Source organism: Homo sapiens, chromosome 4 (genome assembly GCF_000001405.40).
Source record: "Homo sapiens chromosome 4, GRCh38.p14 Primary Assembly".
In the NCBI taxonomy this organism is placed as follows: Eukaryota; Metazoa; Chordata; class Mammalia; order Primates; family Hominidae; genus Homo; species Homo sapiens.
In genome coordinates, this window is record NC_000004.12 from 98,901,296 (window position 1) to 98,921,381 (window position 20,086).

At 39.5% G+C, this 20,086-nt stretch overlaps 1 protein-coding gene and 1 pseudogene across 4 annotated transcripts in view; both read right to left on the minus strand.

The window, feature by feature from the left end:
- Positions 1-20,086, minus strand: part of EIF4E (eukaryotic translation initiation factor 4E) — a 49,858-nt gene that overhangs the window by 22,020 nt on the left and 7,752 nt on the right. For 3 of the 4 annotated variants that reach the window (NM_001968.5, NM_001130679.3, NM_001130678.4), the window contains exon 2: positions 581-687. In NM_001968.5, coding sequence (NP_001959.1) covers positions 581-687 — 107 coding nt within the window. Of the gene's footprint in view, positions 1-580; positions 688-8,382; positions 8,665-20,086 lie in introns of all 4 variants that reach the window. The other variant, NM_001331017.2, reaches the window with a different exon arrangement.
- Positions 8,086-8,608, minus strand: TBCAP3 (tubulin folding cofactor A pseudogene 3; annotated as a pseudogene).

Genomic DNA, 20,086 nt, shown 5'->3' on the forward strand with positions numbered 1-20,086 from the left:
CAAGCAATTATCTCACCTCAGCCTCCCGAGCAGCTGGGATTACAGGCGTCTGCCACCATACCCAGCTAATTTTTGTATTTTTTAGTAGAGACGGGGTTTCACCATGTTGGCCAGGTTGGTCTCAAACTCCTGACCTCAGGTGATCCGCCCGCCTCCGCCTCCGCCTCCGCCTCCTGAAGTGCTGGGTTTACAGGCGTGAGCCACCGCGTTGGGCGACCACCACTGTCTTTGTATGTCCATCCTTCATAGGCATTCTTCTTCAACAAAAGCCTCCTATATGATGCTAGTATCCCCGGTCTTTGTCCTGAGTCAAGTTCACTTCTCCTTAAGGGAACTTATTTACTAATGTGGCTTCCATTATGACCAATACTTTTCAAACTAATCTCTCACATAGCTCCTTTTGAACTCAAGACTCACACATAAAACTGTCTGCTGGTCATGGGTCATCCAAGTGAAAATAGAACCCTCAACCTTAGCATATCTAAAACTAGTCTCATAATCTAACTTTCCCTTCAAACTTGCCCCATTCACAATTTACCTTGTGGCCTAACTCAGAAAACCTAGGTGTTAGAAAGCTTACCTGTTCTGTAGGGGATGTTTAATATAGTGTTCTGGGTTAGCAACCTCCTGATTAGATTCCGTTTTCTCCTCTTCTGTAGTCGGGGGATTAGGAGTAGGGGTGGTTTCCTAGTGGAAAATAATATAAAACATTATTTTAAATGTCTTAACACATCTATGACAGCAATATTCTAACTAAACCTGAACTGATATGCTGATAATTTTTTTTTTTTGAGACAGAGTCTCTCTCTGTTGCCCAGGCTGGAGTGCAGTCGTGCGATCTTGGCTCACTGCAACCTCCTCCTCCTCCCAGGTTCAAGCAGTTCTCCTGCCTCAGCCTCCTAAGTAGCTGGGATTACAGATGTGTGCCACCATGCCTGGCTAATTTTTGTATTTTTAGTAGAGACGGGGTTTCACCCCGTTGGTCAGGCTGGTCTTGAACTCCTGACCTTGTGATTCACCTGCCTTGGCCTCCCAAAGTGCTGGGATTACAGGCGTGAGCCACCACACCCGGCACTAGTAGTATTTTTTAAGAAGAAGGAATTAAAGCAGATTGCTTCATAAAACAGACCACAGACCAAACTCTAAAGAACCATTCTCTATTCTCATATCTCTTCATTAAGAGCAAAGAGCAAACGGTTTCTCAAATTTGAAAATATAACAGTATTTATAGTTATCCTTCCACTTGCACTTTTTTTTTTAAATAGCAGGAAGACTGTCACAGACTATGCAACAAAGTTGGGAAAATCTTCTATCTTTCTTAACATACCATCATATTAAGATACTGCATATGGTACTGAAGGGGGTATCAGGAAGGATACAGGATGGAAACTAAAGTTTCAAGAGTATAACAACTGTATCACTGGGCACTGTGGTGCGTCTCTACAATCCCAGCTACTCGGGAGATTAATAGGAGGATTAATAGGAGGATTGCTTGAGCCCAGGAGTTTGAGACCAGCCTGGGCAACACGGCAAGACCCTGTCTCAAAAACAAACAAAACAAAACAAAACAACATTATGATGACAAAAAAGCTTTGTAAAGTGATCAAGCCAATGATGCGCAGGTCTTACCTTCATGGCATACTGTTTACCCTATCGTAACCTAAAAGTTCGGCAACTTAATATTTTCAATGGAACCTAACAAGATGGACATTGGCTTGAACTTAAATCTTCTTTTAGGCTAGACAAAATTAACACTGTCATCTAAAAATATCAGAAAGAAAAGTAGTCTGGGGGCAGTAATTTAAAATAGGTGTTCACCACATTCTTCCATGTAGCTCTTCATACTATCATAAATTGTTGTCAACAAAAGAAGAGAGCCAAAGAAAGGCACTAGGACAAAGACTGATACCAAAAAAAGGGCAATGCAACAAGTGTTTGGATATCAGACTGAAGCAGCAAACAACAGAGATCTATGTTAACATAACAAGATATGTAAGTCAAATATTTATTGTCTAAAAGAATGCAGAGCAGAAAGGTGGTAAATATTTATTTGAAAGAATATGGGTTTTTTTTTTTTTTGTATTTTATTTTTCTTAGAGATGGGGTCTCACTCATAGCTCACTGCAGCCTCAATCTCCCTGGCTCAAGCAATCTTCTTGCCTCAGCTTCCACGGTAACTGGGACTACAGATAGGCACCATGATACCTGGCTAATTCTTTTTTATTTTTAGTAGAGACAAGGTCTCACCATGTTGGCCAGGCTGGTCTCAAACTCCTGAGCTCAAGCAATCCTCCCACCTTGGCCTCCCAAGGGATATGTTTTTTCTTATCAACATATGACATGTACAAGAATTTCTATTAGCCTATAAAGTCACCCAGAACGGAGACCATGTCTTGATTTTACTCAATAATCACAGTACTTAACCCAACAGGAACTTATTAACTTGATTACTTAACTGAATAAATTTAAATGTTTACACAGAATGATTAAGGCCTGAAAATTGACATACAGTAAGTAATGCCTTAAAACCAAACATTTTTATCAACATTTACTTACCAGTAAATTTAAGTGTTCAAACAGATAATTACTGAATGACATTTCCTATCCCACTAGCTTAAAATTAATGATGGGTTTCCAGGCAGACAGTGGGAGTCTCGATGAAAACAATGAGAGACTGGCAGGCAGGTAGGCTTTGGGGGACAGGGTACCAGAGAAAAACTGCTGTAGATGAGAAGTGGGCTCCTCAATATATGTAAAAATCCCTCACAGGTTTTTGGCTAACTCCTAAACTGGCACTTTCAGAGCGTAACTCTGGTTGGCCTAACAGAGAAGAACAGCTAAGCCAAAACTTGCAACTGCCCAGTATTTGTGAAACGTAAGCAGAACGGGTGCAGGGACTTATGTCTGTAATTGCAGCACTTTGAGAGGCCAAGGCGAGAGGACTGCTTGAGTCCAGGAGTTCGAAAACAGCCTCAGCAAGTGAGACCCAGTGAAGAAAGGGGAAGAAAGAAAAAGAAACAATCCTCTTTCTCTCTCTCTCTCAAGTCTTTGGACATACAGGAATTAAAAGCAAGTTATCACTCAGGAAAAACATATTCAGTTCCTAGAATTTTAAAGTGTTATTTTGAATTAAAATAAAAGTCCCACTGTAAGTAACTGATTACTATAGTCTTCATATCAAGAACACATAATCGGCCGGGCATGGTGGCTCACGCCTGTAATCCCAGCACTTTGGGAGGTCAAGGCAAGTGCACCACCTGAGCTCAGGAGTTCAAGACCAGCCTGGCCGACATGGTGAAACCCCATCTCTACTAAAAATGCAAAAATTAGCTGGGCGTGGTAGCACGCGCCTGTAATCCCAGCTACTGGGGAGGCTAAGGCAAGAGAATTGCTTGAACCCAGGAGGCAGAGATTGCAGTGAGCACAGATCGTGCCACTGTTCTCCAGCCTGGGCGACAAGAGCAAAACTCAGTCTCAAAACAAAACAAAAAAGGACACATGATTTTGTACTTTTCCAACAACTTAAAAAAGGAGCTACACATTTTTAAATATGTGTGTATGTATGAATCAGTAAGTATACTAATTTAAAATCTTTAGTCTTCACTTTTAAACATACTAGATTTTAAAACGAATGATGTGAAATACCATAAAAATTTTTATTGGGCATAGACAGTCATCTTTTCGTATGATCTATATGGGAACTAAAAAATATTTCAAGAAACAAGTTCTATTTTAAGGTATCTAACCTTATTTTTAAGATTGCTTCCTATAGACACTAAATAGTTTTAAGTTTACATTCAGTTTAAAAACAAAACTCTACTGCAAAATCCTACCATATTCCTCTCTCTACTCTCTTAGGCTAGTGTTCTCTCAATGAGCAAATTTCACTGGAAATTACATCCTAAATGACCGATCTCAGGTTCTATCAGGGAATTTAAAAAAAAAAAAAAGGAAAAAAAATTAAATGACCAGTATTTCTAGGTTTATAAACTACTTGGACAAAAAAGTAAAGGCTAATTTAGCAGATTATGGCTAATCTCAAAGTAGTCAAACACATTTTTACCCTAAAATAGGCAATCTTCCCTTGAAAAAGCATCGTGTAACGAATTTTAGGTGGGTAGAATAGGGAGTAAGAGCGAGGCCATGGGATGGTGCTGTGTTCATCCAGGTAGTGACCAATGTGGCTGAAAGAGAGGGTTCATGAAACCAAAGAGCTAGAATGGTAGGTTGGAGTGAGACTGTTAAAGGCCTCAAAGGTCAGGCTAAAAGTGTACCTTTCATCTTGGGGGCAATGAAAGCCATTAACTAGAAGGTCAAAGAGATTAAATACAAATGGCAAGTGAGGGAAGAGAAAAAGATAACCAATTTGAGAGCAAAGTATTAAACCTGGTTTAAGATTTGCTGAGTTTATCAGCTTCAAATAAAAATGTTCAGTATTGTAATTTAGCAAACCCAGGGCTGAATAAACTGTCATAGCAACAAGAGAAAGTTGAAAGCGAAGAAAAAAAGCAAGCAAGGGTGAGAAAAGTCTAACAACTGGCTGCAAAGAATGTCAGGTAGCTTTTTACTACATTCTGCAAAAATTAGCACAGGTATAATATTAATCTTACAGGACAATCCTAATATTATAGAGGTAAATATTTCCCAGATCTAGCATCATTCTGTGGTGTTTTCAATAAATCTGACTAAACTTTAGGTTCTCCTCATCATGTTCAAGTCTACATTGCTTAAATTCCAAAACCATGATGTGCTTTTCCATAGTTTTGAACATTCAAGATTTCTCAGCAACTCTCAACCTAAATATACATATAAACCACTTCTAGAAATAATGATGAGCCTTTCCCCTCAGAATACCCCATTTGTGTCCTCCATTACCTTCATTCAACAAATATCTACTTACTCACAGGAACTTCCAAAAAATTTTTTTCCAGGTTAAGACAAATCACCCAACACCTTATTTGAAGTATGGAATAATCAGTAGTCCCTCTTGGCACTAATAATGGTTTGAACCAGTAACTCAAAGTATAGTCCACAGACTACTACTGCTGGTCCACAAACTGGTTATGGTTGACAGTGAGGTTAAGTATAGAAATGCAAAGTAAACACTTTGAAAATCTGTAGCAATTTGACAATTTTGTATCTGCTGAAACTAATCAAATTCAGGCTTACATATTGTATGCATGTCTTCATCTTTATCATTTTACAAAAGTATTATATTAGAAATTTTTAAAAAAAGGCCAGGCATGGTGGCTCATCCCTGTAATCCCAACACCTTGGGAGGCCAAAGCAGGAGAATCTCTTGAGCCCAGGAGGCCAAAATAGGAGCATCACTTGAGTCCAGGAGTTCTAAGGCTGCGGTGAGCTATGATAGCACCACTGCATTCCAGCCTGGGTGACAGAGTAAGACTCTGTCTCTAAAAAATTAAATGAAATGAAACTTTAAAAACAAACACAAACCAGATTGTCATCAGAATATGAGATGCACTGCTTCTGATCACACCCTCTAGAGCCATGTTCCCCATGTTGGAATCCCAGCTCTGCCATTCACAGCTGTAAAATTCAGAGCAAGTAACTTCCGTGGCCTCAGTTTCCTCATCTTAAAATGGGCATTGTGACATTTATCTCCTAGGATCACAATGGGGATTAAATGAATTAAAAAATAAAAGCATTTAAACTGTCTGATACATGGGAAATGCAAAATAAGGGTTGCTTTTTATAAAGTAGCTAAAAATGTTAAGTGAATGGTTACCTGGCTTGCCATTCTCCAAGTATTTATTCAGAGCAAACTATATGACCAGCCACTATGCTGAGTTGTTTCATATGATTTGTTTTAGAAAGAAAAAAATTTTTTAAATTATATTTATCACTTTCCTCCTTCCTAAATTCCTTCTGATATATGTAGATATAGGTATTCCTCCCAGAACAATAATGATTAATGCAATATAAAGTCATTTTAAAGTAAATTGAAGTAAGGAAACCTACTTTTCCTACTTTTAAAGGTACTCCCAGATACCCTATTTCCCCTTTTCTGTACTGAAGGCATCATATCTTTGGCCTCATGAATGGCTAAAATATAGCATTGAGCTGCAACTATCTATTACCAAGGAACAGCATAAAGGACATTGAAATCAAGCATCAAAAAAGGCACAAAAAAGGGGGCTAGAGGGAGAAAGACATTCTATATCAGGCACATTTATTCACATACCATCTTCTGTGCTTCCAAATAATGCTGCAACTGACAGTCTGTATATATCAGGCTCTGACTTCACTACTACAGTTTTCCTCTCATAACAGAAAAAGCAATCCCAGGTTTATCAGTCCCTGATGCACTAGGAGCCATACTGCAAAATGGGTAGCTCAACAAGACAGCCTGGATCCACCTCTAACCCCAACTTGATGAGTCCTTTAAGTCTTAAGATGAGTATGATAGGAGAAAACTTTCAGAGTACCATAGGGATTTAAGTGATCTAGGGTAAGTCCTTAAAATCCCTGTAAGGATCAGTTTCTTCCCTTGTAAAAAGTGCCGTGTGGGTTTTCATCAACAATCCAAGAGTTTGGCACTGAAGTGATCCATAACTGTCGGCTACCATGAGCAATCAGTACTTGAGATGACATTAATGTAAGAGTTTAGAAAGGTAAGAGCTGAGTAAATGCGGCATACTGAACTAGACTTCAAACTCTGGAGAAGTTCCAGTCCTTTAAATTTTAAGATGAGGAAAAAATTTTAAGAACAATAGAAGATAAATCACTAACATTCATATCCCAGTAATATCTGAACAAGGAGTGGTAACCTAAACTACCTAGGGTATGCTCTCTAAATTATTGTCCTGGCTCAATAATTTCTATCTATCCTCAGATCCTTACACCAGACCTTCCCCACCTTCACCCCACCCCCAATCATACACACAGTAAGTAGGGATATGAAAAGAGAAAGAACTCGTGATTAAGTTAGAAATAATTACCCAGATTACTGTTACCACACCTAAATAATTCTGATACCAACACTCTCCCCCTTCCTGATGACACAAAAATATAAACGTGTTCGGTCAATGCTACAGCACCAAATAATGGATAACAACATGATTGGTGACTCATATCCAGTAGTGCTTCCTTATATTACCCCTTCCTTCACTTTCTGTAGCTGAACTGGAAAACCAGCTGTGTCCATATTAGAAATGTAAATGCTACATATGGCAAAGACAGCTGCAATTATTTCTACAAGGTACTAATACAACATTCTAGTAAATTGAAGTCACTATATTAAATAAAGGTATGAAATAATGAGCAGAAGGACAGACACAGTAAGAACAGAAAAGGATGGTGCTTTATGATTTTGAAAAGCTCACACCTCATCCAAACTATGAGTTTTTACTTGATAGGGAACATTTACTAAGCAGTAACTACCAGGCCATGTGCTACATTATTTTCATACATATTATCTCAACATACTATAAATCATCTCAATATAGTCAATCTTCATAATCCCGTGAAACAACCATTATTCTCTCCACTCTTCAGACAAATCTGAAGTCCTGGAAAAGTAAACATGTCATTTAAATCCAGGACTACCAGGGTTTACGGCTAAGAACACCACATGTCCTAGTTCTACCTGTTTGTTGTTTCAGTATAATTGTTAACAGAACTCTCACTCCCAAAGGTGGCCAGGACTGAATAATAAATTATATGGTTACAAAGATTCTCTTTCTAGGCAACATAAATCTATAATATATACTGTGCTCTGTTCTACAGCCTCAGGCTCAACACCTTTGCTCATCTTGCCAATGCATGTGACTGCCAATAAACTAGTAAAAAAGGCATGAATGGTACACCTCACCCTTCCTCCCAGACACACAAAAAAACCCACTACCAGGAAAAAAAGCAACTATATAGTGAGTTTGTATTATTATGCACAGCAGGACACTAAATACCCATTGGTCAAATATCTCACATATACAGGTAAGTGTAAGTAAAAACCTCTTTTATGTGTACAAATAACTTTAATGAGAACATTATTTAATACAAATATGTAAACAGACTTCATACGTTTCTGTTCCTTGTAGTATCTACTGTTAGTTCTCAGTTTTGTCATTCATTTGACAAATTAAATCAGGCAAAGAAATGTACACAATCACATAAAAAGAATCACGTTCTCACACTTGAACACACAGCAGTGGTCAAAAATAATGAAATGTAAACTGGACCCCATGATTTAATGCAAAAAACACCCTGTACATAAAAGTTTCAGGCTTCTAACTCCACTGAATCCAGTACTAAATGTTCTTTATATTCCTCAGCTTCTTCCAAGTCCTTTTCACTTTCTAAAATCTGCCAAAGAACAGTATATGCAGCTTCCAACCTGTGCTGGCAAACAAGGCTTATCACCTGGGATTCTCGCAGACTTTCTGCCTGCTTTTTAATGGCATCATTTTCACCATCTTCAGCTCTCATTTTTTTTCTTTCCTTCTTGTTTTGCTTCTTTTTCATGCATCACTTTTTCTCGACCAACTGCTTCACCACAGGAGTCTTAATTTGTCTCAGGACAGGATCAGCCATGGTCCCCCAAGCGCCATGAGAAGGGTGGGACAGAGAGCCAGGGTAATCATGGAGGAGGCGGCTGTCAGTCCTCAGTTCTTTTCAACAAACCATGCATTTCCTCACAGCACCCTCAAATATGTAAATTAGTATAATTAATTAACTAGTACACAAGAACAAATATAGTCTTACCACCTGTCTTGTAAGAAATAAAAAATTTGGTGAAAACACTGAAAAACTGCCTCAGGCTATTAAACTGTTTTGGTTTTTAGCTTTCAAACATCTATTTACAGTAAAGGAATACCAGCTAATCTGGCATCACTCATGAAAGTGTGGCTGTGGATTTTGCAGTCTTCCTTATCTGTAATAAAGGATCAAAACTATGACTTTTATACTCCTCCCTTAACCGAGAAAGTTGAAATAAAAAACACATGGAGATTTAGCAAAATACAAATCTTTCAACATTAAAACACTGCTCACATGGAAAAAATTTTTTCATGTAAAAGTCCCTGAGACATCATATATCAATCATGATTCAAAAGACAGTACTTCTTAAAGTGCTTTTCAATTAATATAAAATGGCAACTAAACAATAACAAAAAATCACTAGTAACTGGATTACTAAAGAGTTGTGATGATGTGTACAAATTGTGCAGTGTCCAAAAATACTACAAAAATTCAATAGCTGTTTATTTAAATAATAACCTAAATACTTGATCAAAATAAGTAGCACTAACTCATGAGTGAATAGAGCTGATTAAGTTTGTTGGGCTATAGCTAAATATTTACATTTCTGGATACTCAGCAAGCTATACTTGAACACATTTTATTAATTAAAAAAAATCCCAACAGTCTACACTTGCATTTCTGATCTTCAAATAAACAGTTTTAAAACTTGGATGGATTCTTTTTTTTTTTTTGAGACAGATTCTCACTCTGCCACACAGGCTGGAGTGCAGTGGCATGATCTCGGCTCACTGCAACCTCCACCTCCTGGGTTCAAGCAGTTCTCTTGCCTCAGCTTCACGAGTAGCTGGGACTACAGGCATGCACCACCACACCTGGCTAATTATTTGTATTTTAAGTAGAGACGAGGTTTCACCACTTTGGCCCAGCTGGTCTTGAACTCCTCCTGACCTCAAGTGATCCGCCCACCTTGGCCTCCTAAAGTGCTGGAATTACAGGCATGAGCCACCGCACCAGGCCTAAAACTTGGATGAATCCTTTTTTTTTTCCCTTTGAGACAGAGTCTTGCCCTGTTGCCCAGGCTGGATTGCAGTGGCGCGATCTCGGCTCACTGCAACTTCCATCTCCTGGGTTCAAGCAGTTCTCTACCTCAGCCTCCCAAGTAGCTGGGATTACAGGCGCCTGCCACCACGCCCGGCTAATTTTTGTATTTTTAGTACAGACAGGGGTTTCACCATCTTGGCCAGACTGGTCTTGAACTCCTGACCTCGTGATTCACCCGCCTCGGCCTCCCAAAGTGCTGGGATTACAGGTGTGAGCCACCGCGCCCAGCACATTCTTAACTACTAGAAAGAGTTGTAGGAGGCTGGGAACACTGGCTCACACCTGTAATCCCAGCACTTTGGGAGGCCGAGGCGGGTGGAGCATCTGAGGTTGGGAGTTTGAGACCAGCCTGACCAACATGGAGAAATCCCATCTCTACTAAAAATACAAAATTAGCAGGGCGTGGTGGCACATACGCCTGTAATCCCAGCTACTCGGGAAGCTGAGGCAGGAGAATCGCTTGAACCCGGGAGGCAGAGGTTGCAGTGAGCTGAGATCAAGCCACTGCACTCCAGCCTGGGCAACAAGAGCGAAACTCTGTCTCAAAAAAAAAAAAAAAAAAAAAAAAAGAAGACTTGTGGTCACCTTTTAACATTTTAAAATAAATTTTTTTAAAGAACATTCTTAAGGGAGCACTAACATGTACCTACTGATCAAATTACTTTGCACATATTATATAGCTTAAGCCAACATCACAAATTCAGTCTGGGTTTGGGGAGGTGATAACACAGACACAAGAAATAACAGATGTGTGATCTAGGATGACAAGGCTAATGATAAAATTTAAATGTCACTACTATTTAAACCAAAGGCTACCAGAAGATTCATAATTTAAAATAACTAGAAAAATTTACAGGCCGGGCACAGTGGCTCACGCATATAATCCCAGCACTTTGGGAGGTCGAGGCGGGCGGATCACGAGGTCAGGAGTTCAAGACCCACATGACTAACATGGTGAAACCCCATCTCTACCAAAAACACAAAATTAGCTGGGCATGGTGGCGCATGCCTGTAATCCCAGTTACTTGGGAGGCTGAAGCAGGAGAATCACTTGAACCCGGGAGAGGGAAACTGCAGTGAGCCAAGATCGCGCCACTGCACTCCAGCCTAGATAACAAGAGCAAAACTCCGTCTCGAAAAAAAAAAAGAAGAAAAAGAAAAAGAAAAATTTACATACGGCCAGGCACGGTGGCTCATGCCTGTAATCCCAACACTTTGGGAGGCCAACACGGGTGGATCATGAGGTCAGGAAATTGAGACCATCCTGGCCAACATAGTGAAACCCAGCCGCTACTAAAAAATACAAAAATTAGCTGGGCGTGGTGGTGCATGCCTGTAATCCCAGCTACGAAGGAGGCTGAGGCAGGAGAATCGCTTGAACCAGGGAATCAGAGATTGCAGTGAGCTGAGATCGCACCACTGCACTCCAGCATAGCGAAAGCAAGACTCCATCTCAAAAAAAAAACCACAAAGAAAAGAAAAATTTACATACGTTGAACATTATGCAAAAGTAAAAAAATGATTCAAAATATATCAACACTAAAATGGCATTACAACCAGTGCACAAAACTGTTGACTGCAGTAACATGATAATTTCCATTTCAATTATTCCTTAAAGCTTTATAAGAAGTATTTGAAAGGCAAATCTTTTAAAGAATTTAACTGCTATTTAAACGTTTATACATTTTAAAACTTAGAAAACATAACTAAAATTTCATGATACTAAATTCTAGTTTTTTAAAAAAATCAATCTTTACATGTCACAGTTCAAACAAATGAGCAGTTACTGTTAAAATTCTATGTGTTTTGCCGGGTGTGGTGGCTCACGCCTGTAATCCCAGCATTTTGGGAGGCCGAGGCAGGCGGATCACCTGAGGTCAGGTGTTCGAGACCAGCCTGGTCCAACATGGTGAAACCGCGTCTCTACTAAAAATACAAAAATTAGCCAGGTGTAGTGGCACGCGCCTGTAATCCCAGCTACGTGGGAGGCTGAGGCAGGAGAATTGCTTGAACCTGGGAGGCAGAGGTTGCAGTGAGCCAAGGTAGTGTCACTGCATTCCAGCCTGGGCAACAGAGCAAGACTCCATCTCAAAAAAAAAAAAAATTCTATGTGTTCATTTTCAAAAGTTAAAGGTTATAATTTCAATGTAAACTGTAGCTTTAATAAGGTCATTTTGTTTTCTGTAACAACTTCTTATCCAACAAATTTTTTTTTTCTTCTTTTCTTGCCTTCAGAGGAGGGTATCACTATTACTTAGGCTGGAGTGCAGGGGTGCAATCACAGCTCACTGCAGCCTCAAACTCCTAGGCTCAAGAGACGATACTGAATAGCTGGGACTACAGGCATGAGCCACCATGCCCAGCTAATTTTTAGAGACAGGTCTCACTATATTGCTCAGCCTGGTCTCAAACTCTTGGCCTCAAGTGATCCTCCTGCCTCAGCCTTCGAAGTTGCTAGGATTACAGGCATGAGCCACCACACCTGCCTTTTTATGTACCAAGGTTTTAAAATCACCTTTCAAAAGAAAATATTTTGAAGAAATATATACCTTAAAAAAATTTACAAAACCAGGTATAGTCATCAGTTTCATATGTTCCCAGGATTACAGAGTGGAATACAACCTTCTATTTACTTAGTTTAAGTTTTACTTAATTTAAGTTAAACTATCAAGCTTCCAAACGTAAAAGGATCTACTGAGTTCCAAGCCAAAACTAAATGGGAAAATAGAAAAATAATAAAATTAAAATAAAAACATCTACATTCTTTAACCTAGTAATTAGACTTCTAAGAGACAACACATCTATCAACAGATATAACCAAAAGGTAACAGATAAACAAACCACGGCGTTTATGATGTAAGCACTAAACATGTTTGTAAAAATTACTTTAAAACTAATACAAATGTGGAGAAAAGCAGATTACAGAACCATATAAAAATGAGCACTTAAAAAAAAAAAAAGGCCAGGCACGGTGGCTCACACCTGTAATCCCAGCACTTTGAGGCCGAGGTGGGCGGATCACGAGGTCAGGAGTTTAAGACCAGCCTGGCCAACATGGTGAAACCTCGTCTCTACTAAAAATACAAAAATTAGCCAGGCGTGGTGGCGCATGCCTGTAATCCCAGCTACTTGGGAGGCTGAGGCAGGAGAATCACTTGAACCCAGGAGGAGGAGGTTGCAGGTTGCAGTGACCTGAGACCGTGCCACTGCACTCCAGCCTGGCAACAGAGCCAGACTCCGTCTCAAAAAAAAAAAAAAAAAAAAAAAAAAAGCACTTTTTTTTTTTGCTTTTGACCTATTTTAAGAAGTCCTAAATAAACTGTAGTGCATCCAGAAAATGAAACATTGCTGAATGCTAAAATAAAATGAGTTATCAAGCCATAAAAAGACGTAGAAGGAACTTAAATGTATATTACTAAGTGAAAGAAGCTAAGCTGAAAAGGCTACATACTGTATGATTCTAACTCTGTGACACTCTGGAAAAGACAAAAAGATCAGTGGTTGGTGGGGAGGGTATAAACAAGCAGAACAGAGGATTTTTAGGGCTTAGTAAAATTATTCTGCACGATATTATAACCGCAGATACATGTCATTTTACATTTGACAAAACCCACAGACTGTACAACATCAGGAGTGAACCCTAATGTAAAGTATGAACTTTGGGTGACAATAACGTCAATTTAGGTTCATCAATTCTAACAAATGTGCCATTCTGTTGTAGGATGTTGACACTGGGAAAGCTGTACCTGCACCGGGGCAAGGAGTAAGTTACGGGAACTGTCTTTTCTGCTCAGTTTTGCTCCGAACCTAAAACTGCTCTAAGAAAATTAAGTAGTTAGTTTTTGAGACAGGGTCCCGCTCTGATGCCCAGGCTGGAGTGCAGTGGCACAATCACAGCTCACTGAAGTCTCGACCTCCAGGGCTCAATCAATCCTCCCGCCTCAGCCTTCTGAGTAGCTGGGACTACAGGCACATGCCACCACACCCAGCTAGTTTTTTGTATTAATATTTTTAGTAGAGACAGGGTTTCATCATGTTGCCTAGGCTGGTCTTGAACTCCTGGGCTTAAGCAATTCACCTGCCTCAGCCTCCCAAAGTGCTTCAGGTTTCAGGCATGAGCTACGCACACAAACCCGGCCGAAAATTAAGTATTTAAAAGGGAAAAAGAAAAGGTACGAAGAAGGATATGGTTAAAAAAAAAAAGAGAAGTTCACAAACAAGTGAACCAAAATATTACCAGAGAACACCTAGTTGTTGAGATTACAGATTATTTTTTCACAATGATCTAAATGTTCAAAATGTATTATAACAAAGTTATATTAAAGCCCAAATAAACATCTGAAACTACTCCTGGACTGCTCAGTGTATTCCAATAATCTGCCCATCCCCTCATGGGCCAACAGCCAATATCATATTTTTGTAAATTACTTTTTTTTTTTTTGAGACAGAGTCTTGCTCTGTCACCCAGGCTGAAGTGCAATGGCGTGATCTTGGCTCACTGCAACCTCCACTTCCCAGGTTCAAGCAATTCTCCTGCCTCAACCTCCCAAGTAGCTGGGATTATAGGTACCCGCCACCATGCCCAGCTAATTTTTTGTATTTTTAGTAGAGATGGGGTTTCGCCATGTTGGCCAGGCTGATCTCGAACTCCTGAACTCAGGTGATCCACCTGCCTCAGCCTCCCAAAGTGCTAGGATTACAGACGTGAGCCACTGCGCCTGGCCGTTATCTTTAATAATACTTTTCTTCATGGTACAGTAAGTTCCCCAGTCACCTTTGCTCTTCCTTCTTAAAACTTTGCTTCTGCTCATGCCTGTAATCCCAGCACTTTGGGAGGCCGAGGCGGGCGGATCACTTGAGGTCAGGAGTTCGAGACCAGCCTGGCCAACATGGTGAAAACTCGTCTCTACTAAAAATATAAAAATTAGCTGGGCATGGTGGTGGGCACCTGTAATCCCAGCTACTCGAGAGGCTGAGGTGGGATAATCACTTGAACCTAAGAGACAGAGGTTGCAGTGAGCCAAGATGGTGCCACTGCACTCCAGCCTGGGCAACAGAGTGAGGCTCTGTCTCAAAAAAAAAGTCTACGTACTTCCTCAAAGGAATAAGTTAAGATTTTGCATGTATATAACAATTACAGGAAGCTATAAAAATGAACATTCAGAGGACAAAAAAAAAAAAAAAAGGAAGAGAAGGAGGATGGGAGGGAGAAAATAAATACCTGGAAATTCAAAATGAATGGAAACTTAAAATGAAGGTTGAAAAATAAATGAAATTTCCCAGAGAACTAGTCCAAGAGATCTAATATCTGAGTAACTGTTTCAAAGAGAAAAAAGAGGAGAATTACCAATAAACCTATGAGAAGTGATGGACATGAGTGGCCATATTAAAAATGCCCAATGAGTACACAGTACAATGGATGAAAACAGACTTATACTAAGGTATATTATTGTGAAATAAGGACAAGAAAAAGAATCTACAAATTATAGGGAGTGAGGGTGAGAGAGCAACAGGTCACACTAAAAAATAATTTTTAGCTACCAGAATAATTTCAGACTCATCAGCAGCTACAACAGAAGTCCACCATGAAACTTGACTTCAGAATCCTGAAGAATTCTATGTCCAGCCAAACTACAGGTATGACACTTAATATTCAAGGCCTCAAAAATTTTTTTACTATGTACTTTTTCTCAAAAAACTGCTGGAGATCTGGCCCACCAACGTGAGATAAGAAACCAAATAACAGGAAGATAAAGGGCACAGCAAATGGAAGGGTGGAACACAAAAGTCAAATGAAAGAATCAGGAACATGGTAAAAGGAGATCCAGGGAAGACAAATGTTTACCATATATAAAGGGCAGCAGTCCAGATTGGAGCAATGTGATTCAGGTGAATGTGACTGGAGCAATGTGATTTAATGGCTGCTATGATTAAAATGCCTATTTTTATTATTCTACCTTTTCTAAACACACACACACACACACACACACACACACACACACACACACACACACACAAAAAAAACCCAAATGCTCAAGTGTCCAGCCCAGACTTTTATCTCTACTTAATTCTGCTTGACCATGTGTTCATGAAGTTCCTCTTCTCTCCTTTATGCCCTGCTAACTGTATTAGGTAACTTTACACCAGAAGAGTTCAGCTTTAATCCAATCTTAAAACAAGATACAGAGCAGCATATTCCCAAAGACCACTCTCTTACTGAAGATTCTTTGCCTGGCCCACAAAACAGCCTCACCAGATAACAACTATAAATCCTATGTTTCCCAGGACATGTCCATGATCATGCCCACTGGTTTCCCGAAAAAGGGCTCTAGTAGAAATTCTAGGAAGCTGAAGCCAAACTATAAACCAAAAACTGTGTTCAGATTATCATTTTTATGAGCCTTCATCCAATAGTGGCAATACCATCTTTCCCTTAAACATCTAGCTTTTTAGTTTTTTCAAAACTAAACAACACATAGCTGAAAGATACATACATGGGAGGTTAATGTAGAAAAAACAAAAAGCAAGGGAATGCTTGACTCAAAAGTCAGAAAAGAAGATGGAGGAGGGGCCAAAGATACAAGAATGTGATCACGGGAGTATTAAAAAAGCTGAAATGCTGCTGTGGTGTCCTAGGTCATGGTACATGTGTCTTCAGTTTACTACTCTAAAACCTGGCCAGGCGTGATGGCTCACACCTGTAATCACAGCACTTTGGGAGGCCAAGGCAGTAGGACTGCTTGAGCCCAGGAGTTTGAGACCAGCCTGGCCAACATAATGAAACTCCGTTTTTACTAAAAATACAAAAATTAGCCGGGCGTGGTGGCGCACACCTGTATTCCTAGCTACTTGGGAGGTTGAGGCAGGATGATCGCTTGAACGTGGGAGGCGGAGGTTGCAGTGAGCAGAGACTGCACTCCAGTCTGGGCAACAGTGAGACCCTGTCTCAAAAAAATTTTTTTTTGCCAGGTGTGGTGGCTCACGCCTGTAATCCCAGCACTTTGGGAGGCCAAAGTGGGTGGATTACCTAAGATCAGGAGTTTGAGACCAGCCTGGCCAACATGATGAAACCCTGTCTCTACTAAAAACACAAACAATTAGCTGGATGTGGTGGTGGACGCCTGTAATCCAGCTGGTCGGGAGGCTGAGGCAGGAGAATTGCTTGAACCCAAGAGGCGGAGGTTGCAGTGAGCCGAGATTGTCACTGCACTCCAGCCTAGGCAAGAGCAAAGCTCCGTCTTGGAAAAAAAAAAAAAAAGAAAGAAAAAAAAATTAAAGATAAAAGAAAACGTACATACCTATTTTATACTTTGTTTTTACATATAAACATTTATTTTGAAAAAGGGAGGAGCACTAAAAAAAAAATTGCAGCCTGAAAACCAACTATATTTGAAAAAGTGTTTTATCTGACCAACAGGGTTTAAAATTTTTCAATCCGTTGTCAAAACATCTACTTTATAGATATATTATCTCGTGTATGGAATGATACAGGGAAAAGTTTATTTATCCCAGTAATGTTTGAAATAGCAAATGGTTGGAAATGACCTAAATATTAATATAGAAATAATTATGTTAAAACCAAATAGTGTAACATATACCATCAGAAAAAAGAAGTGAAAACTTTATGTGTTGATATGTAATGCTCTACAAGACATATTAAGTGAAAAAACACAATGTGCCAGAAAAGTGCACATAGCTGGCTACTATTTACTTTTTATAAATATACATATTTGCTGTATATGCACAAATCTCTATTAAAAGTTAAACAACTGACAATGCTGGTTGCCTCTAGGTCATCTGCCTGGATAGGGATCAGCTTCAGGAGACTGTGTACTTTTGCATAAAACTTGAGTTTTGAACACTGTAAAGTACTGTCTATTTACACACACATTTAAAAAACTAGTAAAAAGCCTGGGTGTGGTGGCTCATGCCTGTAATCCCAGCACTTTGGGAGGCTGAGGCAGGCAGATCATGAGGTCAAGAGATCAAGACCATCCTAGCCAACGTGGTGAAATGCTGTCTCTACTAAAAACACAAAAATTAGTTGGCAGTGGTGGCGCACACCTGTAGTCCCAGCTACTCAGGAGGCTGAGGCAGGAGTCACCTGAACCCGGGAGGTGGATGTTGCAGTGACCCGAGATCGTGCCACTGCACTCCAGCCTGACAACAGAGTGAGACACCATCTCAAAACAAAAACAGAAACAAAAAGACTAGCAAAAAAAAAAAAAACAAAAAAAAACATTAACCCACAGAAAAATTCTAATTCTATACAAGAGTAAATAACTATCTTTCAAAGTTTAAAATACAGAGCGACAAGCTTTTCTAGGATAGAATCATGTATCTAACCAAACTGGACATATCCAGTTATACCTTATAAAGTTGAACTAAATACAATATGTATACATACATTTGCACACACCAGAATTTCTAGATTCTTTTTCTTTTTTTTTTTTTTTTTTGAGATGGAGTCTTGCTCTATCACCCAGGCTGGCGTGCAGTGGTGCAGTCTTGGCTCACTGCAACCTCCGCCTCCCAGGTTCAAGTGATTCTCCTGTCTCAGCCTCCCGAGTAGCTGGGACTACAGGCACGTGCCACCACACCCAGCTAATTTTTGTATTTTTAGTAGAGATGGGGTTTCACCATGTTGGCCAGGCTGGTCTCCAACTCCTGACCTCAAGTGCTCCACCTGCCACAGCCTCCCCAAGTGCTGGGATTACAGGCGTGAGCCACCATGCCCGGCCAGAATTTCTAGCTTCTGAGGCCATACTGCACAATTAGGTAGCCATTACCTACATGTGGTTAATTATTAATATTAAATAAAGTTTAAAATTTATTTCCTTGGTTGCACAAGCCACAATATCCAAATGCTCAATTACCATGTACAGCCAGTGGCTACTGTATTGGACAGTAAAAAATACCCTTTCCATTATCTCAGAAAGTTCTCCTGGACAGACTTTTTCTAGTAGAATCCTCAAAAAATTGTAATTGGGCAATTTGGAAAGGGGAATGAGGTGGTTGGGGAAGATAGGCAGGAGATAGGTTTTCCACATTAGACAGAACTTAGCCTGTGCCAGATAATGTCCTTAATATGACTCATGCTAATTCAATCCTTGTTGTACTTCAGTATAAATTGGTTTCCTTTGTAAACCTATGCATTTTATGTAATACATGTTAAAACATTCTTTTTTCTTTTTTTTTTTTGAGACGGAGTTTCACTCTTGTTGCCCAGGCTGGATGCAATGGCACCATCTCGGCTCACTGCAACCTCCACCTCCCAGGTTCAAGCAATTCTCTTGCCTCAGCCTTAGCTGGGACTACAGGCACCCATGAACACGCTCGGCTAATTTTTGTATTTTTAGTAAAGATAAGGTTTCACCATTTTGGCCAGGCTGGTCTCGAACTCCTGATCTCAGGTGATTCGCCCATCTCAGCCTCCCAAAGTGCTGGGATTACAAGCATGAACCACTGTGCCTGGCCTGCATTTTAAAACACTCTAAGATAGGGGCTATAGGCTTTACCAAATTGCTATTTTGGACCATGAGTATGTAACTAAGTCAAAGAAAAAAAACAAAAAATAAAGAAAAGCTAAATACCATGATGTATAAACCAACATCCAAAACAGATTTTACAATCCACAACATGGTAACAAAGTATACAAGTTCAAATGAAAAAAATTTAACCCTCCTAATCCCACCATCCATAAACCATCTGGCATATTCTTTCAGTTAGAATTTTACACTTATTTGTGTACCTACGCATCAGTATCAACCCTAACATACAAGTTTTACTGAAGGATGGACTTTAGTTTTGGTTGAATTTGTTCCTCTTTTTACACAAGATAGTAATAAAGCTTGACACTCAGGTTTGAGTTCTCTCTCACTTATGTTAATTATGAGTTCTATAAAAATAACTTGCCTTGCTAAAAATTAAAAAAAAATTTTATATTCAAGTGCTATTCCTTTTGCGGCACCAAAACTTTGTATGTAACACTTAAGGAACTATGTGACCGTGGTAGAAAGTTAAAAATCACTTGAAATATGAATTCCTCACCTATAAAGTATTCATTTATTCATCAGAAAAAGAACTATAAGAAAAAATATACATTTCACATATCAATTAAAATATCAAACTTTCTTGCCTTAGTTAATACTTCTGACCAGATTTTGTGCCAACATAGGCTTACTGCCCCATAAGAAGTTTCACGGCAATACTAATATGTTGACATATATATGTAGACATATATATCAAAATTAGTTACAATATT